We start from the raw sequence: 8233 nt of genomic DNA, 5'->3' as shown, positions 1-8233 counted from the left end.
AGCATCTACTAAATGCAAAAGAAATGATTGTGGACTCTGGAATCTGGAATCCACGATGCTAGCACTTTGCAGTAATAGCCTCTTTCATATATAGATCTCACAACAGTTTGTAGACACTAAGTTTTTCCATGCTCCTGCAACTCACACTGAGTTTTTATTTACTCCCTTTTTACTCTGGAAAAGCAGGGCAGGAAGTTTTTAAAGGGTTCCTTGCAGTTACAAAGCTAGAATTTGAACCCAGTGTCAAAGCCTCTGGGTCAGATTGGGAGGGGGCCCACGTTGTGAACTTGACAGTTAATTCATGGTTGCTGTTTTATGGAGCAGGAAGTGACCTTTAGTGACTCAGAGGAAGGAATAAGCTGAGGGAGGGTCCAGGAGACCAGAGGTACAGTGCCTGGCATCTCTTATCACTGCATTCTAAGTGGCTTAGCCTTGCTGTGTTCCTGAATGCACACATTGGGATTGCAACTCACACCGACCACTTTAGGTTCTTCTTGAGAGATAGGCTGTGAGTCCTGAATGGAGTGTGTGTGTGTAGGGGGCTTGGCTTTCAGGCCAAGAGTGGAGTGAGTGTGGTACTTGGTGGACAGAGAGGCCAGTTGGTTATCAAGTGAAGGGGCGTTAGGGAAAAAGTTCAGAGGGCAAAAAGCTATGTTGCTCCTTCTCACTTATTGTCCATGAGTATTTTCTTTTAAATGGAACCGGAATCATAAGATAAGAATGACCAGGAGGCTCTGGTAAAGGCAGGTGCAAGTTTTGTGTGACAAGATCCTCATGGACTAAAAAATGATCATATTTCTGAGGTTGAATCAAATACATAAAAGCAGCAGCAAATCACACACTTCTTCGAAGAGAGTTACCAAGTTGCAGGGGAAATTTATTAGCACAAATAAGTCTGAAAAGGAAAAGCTATCCATATATACAAGGTTAAGTTGGAAGAAGGAGGCAGAAAGAAGAAATTCCAGTTGTTATCATTATTTTTTATTCCAAATTGCATCTGTTCACTAAAATACTTCGGACTGGGTGCAGTGGCTTACACCTATAATCCCAGCACTTTGGGAGACTAGGCGGGCAGATCACTTGAGGTCAGGCATTCGAGACCAGCCTGGTCAACATGATGAAACCCTGTCTTTACTAAAAATACAAAAATTAGCCAGTCGTGGTGGCACATGCCTGTAATCCCAGCTACTCGGGAGGCTGAGGCAGGAGAATCGCTTGAACCTGGGAGGTGGAGGTTGCAGTGAGCCAAGATTGAGCCAGTGCACTCCGGCCTGGGTGACAGAGGGAGACTCCATCTCAAAAAAACCCAAACAAATATTTTATAAAATAGAAATAGAAAAATAATACAAATGAAAAGTCTATTAAGTATATATTTTTATTAAGCAATATTAAAATGACTGCAAGTAAGAGTTTATATAGCTATATGTACATGGATATTTATAGATGAGATTACGCTTACATTCTTGCCCACACCATCTTGGAAAATGTTAAGATAATATCGCCTTGACTGAAAAACATACAGCAAACATGGTCTCTTTGGCATTCTGTCATCCACATCTACAGGTGCCTGTAGCAATGTGTGGTACTATAATATAATGGTAATTGATGTTCCTAATTTGGGAGTGTGGAAAGATCCCCAAATGTCTTTTAAGTCATCAGAGAAAGATAAAATAATATTTGATACAGCTTTTCTTAAAATTTGAGATAATTTTAATGGCGAGTTATTTTATGGCCCTTTGTATCTTGAAAAATTGGGAAATCACATATGGTTTAAAAGCGAATTATCTTAATTGGAACATGCCATTAACTAGAAAACCCATTATTTCAGCTTGCACTCTAACAGACAATACGTGGAAAAGGAAACGCGGCCAGGGCAAAACATTTCCTCTTCTTATAAACCTTGAACTGAGTACGTCCCTCACCAATTATAGAGGGTCCCCTTGGGCCTCAGAACTTTCCACAAGCGTTGAGGTCTCTATGGCGATGCTCCCGGCTGCCGAGGCGGAAACACAGGTGATGAGGTGGCGGCAAGCACAGTGCAAAGAGAGAGAAGCAGCTTCGGCTGCAGCAAACCACGCAGGTCCTTCTTGATCATCTAGAACTGACCGCTCCGCCTTGCCAGGAGTCTGCAGAACCACGTGGCTAGCCTGCCTGAAGTTCTCACCTCTCCAGGAAGGCGGGGGGCTTCTAATGGCTGCAGCTGCGCTGGGGGCTGGGGGCTCCCGCTGGGACTCCACTTCCGTGGATGTCTAAGCTTCACCTTTCTTGCGCCCGCAGGGGCATGACTCAGGTGAAAGGGAGCCATTTTCTCAGACCCCTGGCCTCATGCAGCCCTTCAGCATCCCCGTGCAAATCACACTTCAGGGCAGCCGGAGGCGCCAGGGGAGGTAAGTCACTTCCGGAAGCTCTGCCGGTAGTGGGAATCTGGCTGAACAAGCAGTTGCAAGAAGAGGGGACATCTCGAGCTTGGGGAGTGAGTGTTTCCTTTTTCTCTGAGGATGCCCACTTGCCATGCCTCCCAGGGTACCCAGCAGGCTTCCCCAGTAGCACTCACATCACGGGGCTGCAGCCTTTCCTGTTGGCTCTATCCTCTAGGTTGCCAGTTCTTGGAGACTGGAGACCTTTTAAACTCACCTGTAGCTCCCCAGCACTGATCATAGCCCAGCCCATAGTTGGTGCTCAAGAATGATCTGTTGGTTGAATGAGGAATGAAGAAATTAGACCAGCATTTGGTCCCATTGGTGAAGCCCTGGAGTCACAGCCCTTGGATTCAAACCCAGCTCACCACTTAATCAGCCATATGACTGGGCAGGTCCCATTGGTGAAGCCCTGGAGTCACAGCCCTTGGATTCAAACCCAGCTCACCACTTAATCAGCCATATGACTGGGCAAGTCACTTAACTTCTCTGTTTGCCTCATCTCCTTATCTGTGAAATGCAGATAGTAAGAGCCCCTGCGTGTCTCAGCACAGTATACCACATCCTCTCTAAACTATACTGTTATACCGGGTATACGCTCTACACCTCCCTAAACTCTAGCCTTTTAGCTATTGTTATTACCCACCCTACTCTTCTCCTTAAAGGGGGAAGTGAGAGATTATTTTCAGGACCCGTTTTCTCCCCAGGGAAATGAAAAGCAAAGAAGCTGAAAGCCTCTAGTGACCTGCACCCCTTTTGCCTGCCCTAGGGTTGGGGCATGGGGCAGTCAATGTGGGAACCAAAATGGAGAGAAGAGTGATGCCTGAGGGTGTTGGACAAATGGGATACTAAAACCTTTTGTGCCAGGCGCGGTGGCTCACACCTGTAATCCCAGCACTTTGGGAGGCCGAGGTGAGTGGATCACCTGAGGTCAGGAGTTCGAGAGCAGCCTGGCCAACATGGTGAAACCCCGTCTCTACTAAAAATACAAAAATTAGCTGGGCATGGTGGTGGCGCGCCTGTAATCCCAGCTACTCAGGAGGCTGAGGCTGGAGAATTGCTTGAACCTGGGAGGAGGAGGTTGCAGTGAGCAGAGATTGTGCCATTGCACTCCAGCCTGGGCGACAAGAGCCAAACTCTGTCTCAAACAAAGAAAAACCTGTTGGGAGGGGTACATTTCAGAACCAGGTTCACTCACTATCTGGAAATATGCATGATTTATTATTGGCTCTAGTGGAGTTGGGAGCTGAGAATTGGAAAACATTAAAGATGGTAATGGTCATCATGTTACTCACTTCCATTATCACTTAACTGCACTCAGGGGTATTTGAGAGGGAGCATGAGGAGAGTGAGATACAGGAGTTTGGATAAGATGGGGGTTCAGGGAAGAAGGACCAGACAGACTACAGAGGAAAGAAAGGTGTTCTTCTCGCTAGACATGAACCAATTTTTTTGTGAACAGACAATTAAAATGAATTACTTTATGGCAAAAGATCAAATGACAAACATGCAAGCAAACAAGTTTTAGTGTCCCATACGTCACACAATTAACTAGATATAAAGGCAGTTGTGTTGTCATCAAAGCAAACTACTGTATCCCATTTTCATTTCTGAAATGCACAACTGAATTATTGCTATTTCCTCTTGCTGAACTTGATGAACTATGTTGACTTAACCTTATTTGCTGTTTCAAAATAAGTTGTTAAATAATGTTGTAATTAAAAAATAGAAGAGTAAAAATAATTACCAAGGGTCTCCTCTGTAACCAAAACGAATTACAGGGAAATATTAATATAGTGTACTTCATGTTTAGACATTCATTTCACATACACCCGTGAAATGAATGTCAGATGAATTATGAAGTTTTGATGAGCCACAGCATGTTTCTAAGGAATACTTCTTGCAAAAGTTTCAGTGCTGGAGGGAGAGGCTGCTGGCTTCTGTGGGGATCACACCCAGGTGAGTGTGTTCAGGCTGTTTGTAATTGAGTTTGCCTCAGGCTAAGCCAGAAGCTGCCTGTAGCCATGTGTCGTACTTGGGCTGGGTGGGAAAGTCAGTCCTATCTGCAGTGAAGAGAATAGAAGGTGGTGGATATTGCCTTGATTATGAATAAAACAGCTCAAGGTAATACACTGGTTAGAAGCGGACATGTATTACTGGCAGAAAAAGGAATCAATATGCTTTTTATCCATCTTCCTGACTAGAAAGCAAACTAGATCATACTTAAGTGCTTTGAGGTCCTTGGATGAAAGATGCTTGTAAATACAACAAAGTTAATTACAAGGCTGTTTATGGTCTGAGAAAACTGGAAACAACCTAATAATATTCAATAATAAGGAAATGGTTAAGGAAATATGGCATATCTAATTGATGGAACATTATGTAGCCAATAGGATTACAAAGAATTGTTAATGACATGGGAAAGTGCTTATTATGTTAAGTGAAAAAGATAAGATTAACAAAAAAATCTCAAATCATATCTAATGTGATCTCATTCTGTTTAAAACAATATAGGCCAGGTGCGGTGGATTATGCCTATAATCTCAGCACTTTGGGAGGCCGAGGCAGGTGGATCACCTGAGGTCAAGATTTCGAGACTAGCCTGGCCAACATGGTGAAAACCCGTTTCTACTAAAAACAAAAAAATTAGCTGGGCGTGGTAGCCGGCGCCTATAATCCCAGCTACTTGGGAGGCTGAGGCAGGAGAATTGCTTGAACCCGGGAAGCAGAGGTTGTAGTGAGCTGAGATCATGCCACTGCACTGCAGCCTGGATGACAGAGTGAGACTCCATCTCAAAAAAAAAAAAAAAAAAAAAAAGAAAAGAAAAAGAAAAACAAAACAGAAACAAAAAACAAAAAACAAAAAACCTAATATAGAGCAGGAGGGGATTAACCCAGCAAACCAAGTGCACAATCATTACCTTTAAGTGTTGTGGGTGAGTTTTTGTTCTCTTCTGTACATTTTTTTTTGTATTTTTCAAGTTTCATACAATGAGCATATAAAAATATATTACTTTCATGAATCATTTGACATTTGTTGAGGAATTCTTTGTGGCTAAGTTTGTAGTCAGGTCTTGAGAGGTGACAACGTGCTGGCAGCCCTTGCAGCCCTCGCTCGCTCTCCGCGCCTCCTCGGCCTTGGCGCCCACTCTGGCCGCGCCTGAGGAGCCCCTTTCTGGGCTGGCCAAGGCTAGAGCCGGCTCCCTCAGCTTGCAGGGAGGTGGGGAGGGAGAGGCGCGGGCGGGAACCCGGGCTGTGCGCGGAGCTTGCGGGCCAGTCCGAGTTCCAGGTGGGCGTGGACTCAGCGGGCCAGCACTCCGAGTGGCCGACCGGCCTACAAGCCACGGACAGTGAGGGGCTTAGCACCTGGGCCAGCAGCTGCTGTGCTCAATTTCTCACAGGGCCTTAGGTGCCTCCCCGCGGGGCAGGGCTTGGGACCTGCAGCCCGCCATACCTGAGCCTCCCCCCGCCTCCGTGGGCTCCTGTGCCGCCCGAGCCTCCCTGATGAGCGCTGCCCCCTGCTCCACGGCACCCAGTCCCATCCACCACTCAAGGTCTGAGGAGTGCGGGCACACGCACAGGACTGGCAGGCAGCTCCACCTGTGGCCCCGGTGCGGGATCCACTGGGTGAAGCCAGCTGGGCTCCTGAGTCTGGTGGGGACTTGGAGAACGTTTATGTTTAGCTAAGAGATTGTAAATACACCAATTGGTACTGTGTATCTAGCTCAAGGTTTATAAACACACCAATCAGCACCCTGTATCTAGCTCAGGGTTTGTGAATGCACCAATCGACACTGTATCTAGCTACTCTGGTGGGGACTTGGAAAACGTTTGTGTCCACACTCTGTATCTAGCTAATCTAGTGGGGATGTGGAGAACCTTTGTGTCTAGCTCAGGGATTGTAAACGCACCAATCAGCACCCTGTCAAAATGGGCCAATTAGCTCTCTGTAAAATGGACCAATCGGCTCTCTGTAAAATGGACCAATCAGCAGGATGTGGGTGGGGCCAGATAAGAGAATAAAAGTAGGCTGCCCCAGCCAGCAGTGGCAACCTGCTCAGGTCCCTTTCCACGCTGTGGAGGATTTGTTCCTTTGCTCTTTGCAATAAATCTTGGTACTGCTCGTTCTTTGGGTCCACGCTGCCTTTATGAGCTGTAACACTCACTGCGAAGGTCTGCAGCTTCACTCCTGAAGCCAGGGAGACCACGAACCCATCGGGAGGAATGAACAACTCCAGAGGCGCCGCCTTAAGAGCTATAACACTCACTGCGAAGGTCCGCGGCTTCATTCTTGAAGTCGGTGAGACCAAGAACCCACCAATTCCGGACACAGTTTCATAAATGTTCCATACATGCTTGAGAATAATATATATTCTGTAGAAGTGAGTATTCTATATTTATCATTTAGATAAAACTTGTTAATTGCTTTACTTAAATCTATTACCCTACTGGTTTGTTCAGGTCAAGCTATCTAAATTACTGGGGGAGTGTATAAAAATACATCATAATCTGATAGTGGATTTTGTCTATTTCTTCTTGTAGTTTAATCAGTGAAACAATGCTATCAGGTACCTACAAATTAGCATTGTTACATTTTCCGTGTGAATTGAGCCTTTAATCAGTGTTAAAACACTTATTTTTAAATTTCTAATAAAGCTTTTTAATTTTTAACATTCATGTTTGCTTTTTGTTACATTTTGCCTATAAATTTCACCCTTTTTGTATCTGTGTTTTAGATGTATCTTTTGTAAAAACATGCATATAGATAGTTCTCCATTTACAGTGGGATTACATCCTGACAAATCCATCATAAGTGGAAAATACTGTAAGTTGAAAACTTCAGAGTATTAGCTATTTACCCTCATGATTGTGTGGCAGACTGGGAACTATGGCTGGCTGCCACTGCCCAGCATCTCAAGAGAGTAGGGTACTGCATATCGCTAGCCCAGGAAATAATGCAAATTCAAAATTTGAGGTACAGTTTCTACTGAATTCATATTGCTTTCACACCATAGTAATGTAAAAAAATTGCAAGTGTGGGGCGGGGCGGGCCATGGGGCGGGCGGAGGCGCCCGAGCCCCGCTTCCCCCGCGCCATTCCACCCCCGGCCAGGCTCAGCCCGCGGCCACCTACGCCCCGCCCCTGCCGGCTGCGCCCGAGCCCAGTCCCGCGAGCCGCTCCCCGGCGGGCTGGCTCTTGGCCCCGGAAGCGCGAGCGTTCACTTCGCGGCGAGTGGCTCCGTCTCCGCGGACAGAGCGCGCGCCCCCTGGCCCGGCCCGCGGGGGGGGGCTCCGGCACGGTCCCCGAGCGTTTCCCGCCGGGTGGAGCGGGCCGAGCCCAGCAGGTTGACCAGCCCCGCGGCCACGCAGAGCCGGGAGATCTACTGTTTGAGCGCGGAAGCGCAGAGGCTGGCGGAGGCCCGGCTCGCCGCAAAACGGGAGGCCCGCGCGGAGGCTCGTGAGATCCCCATGAAGGAGCTGGAGCGGCAGCAGAAGGAGGTAGAAGAGAGACCAGAAAAATATTTTACTGAGAAGGGGTCTCGTAACATGCTGGGCCCGTCTGCAGCCACGCTGGCCTTTCTGGGTGGGACTTCCTCTCAGAGAGGCAGCGGAGACACCTCTATATCCATCGACACCGAGGCGTCCATCAGGGAAATCAAGGACTCTCTAGCAGAAGTTGAAGAGAAATGTAAGAAGGCTATGTTTTCCAATGCTCAGTTAGACAATGAAAACACAAACTTCATTTACCAAGTTGACACCCTGAAAGATATGTTGCTGGAGATTGAAGAACAGCTGGCTGAATATAGGCGGCAGTAC

At 46.8% G+C, this 8233-nt stretch overlaps 1 protein-coding gene and 1 pseudogene across 2 annotated transcripts in view, besides 2 other annotated features; both read left to right on the top strand.

The window, feature by feature from the left end:
• The first annotated feature begins 1985 nt into the window (after nucleotides 1-1985).
• KCNMB3 (potassium calcium-activated channel subfamily M regulatory beta subunit 3) overlaps nucleotides 1986-8233 on the top strand; it is a 27348-nt gene continuing 21100 nt past the window's right edge. For both annotated transcript variants that reach the window (NM_001163677.2, NM_171828.3), the window contains exon 1: nucleotides 1986-2387. In NM_001163677.2, coding sequence (NP_001157149.1) covers nucleotides 2326-2387 — 62 coding nt within the window. In that variant the 5' untranslated portion in view covers nucleotides 1986-2325. The remainder of the gene's footprint in view (nucleotides 2388-8233) is intronic.
• Nucleotides 5730-6231: an enhancer, noted in NCBI's record as "H3K27ac-H3K4me1 hESC enhancer chr3:178980593-178981094 (GRCh37/hg19 assembly coordinates)". NCBI's record gives its function as "activates a minimal SCP1, AML or CMV promoter by ChIP-STARR-seq in naive H9 embryonic stem cells {active_cell/tissue: H9 hESC(naive)}" and the evidence as "EXISTENCE:reporter gene assay evidence [ECO:0000049][PMID:30033119]".
• Nucleotides 7422-7851: a silencer, noted in NCBI's record as "silent region_14914". NCBI's record gives its function as "represses an Ori minimal core promoter by ATAC-STARR-seq in GM12878 lymphoblastoid cells {active_cell/tissue: GM12878}" and the evidence as "EXISTENCE:reporter gene assay evidence [ECO:0000049][PMID:35858748]".
• LRRFIP1P1 (LRR binding FLII interacting protein 1 pseudogene 1) overlaps nucleotides 7469-8233 on the top strand; it is a 4308-nt pseudogene continuing 3543 nt past the window's right edge.

This window comes from Homo sapiens, chromosome 3, assembly GCF_000001405.40.
Source record: "Homo sapiens chromosome 3, GRCh38.p14 Primary Assembly".
NCBI lineage: Eukaryota > Metazoa > Chordata > Mammalia > Primates > Hominidae > Homo > Homo sapiens.
The sequence above is the reverse complement of the archived record's forward strand: the minus strand, read 5'-3'. Positions and strand labels throughout refer to the sequence as shown.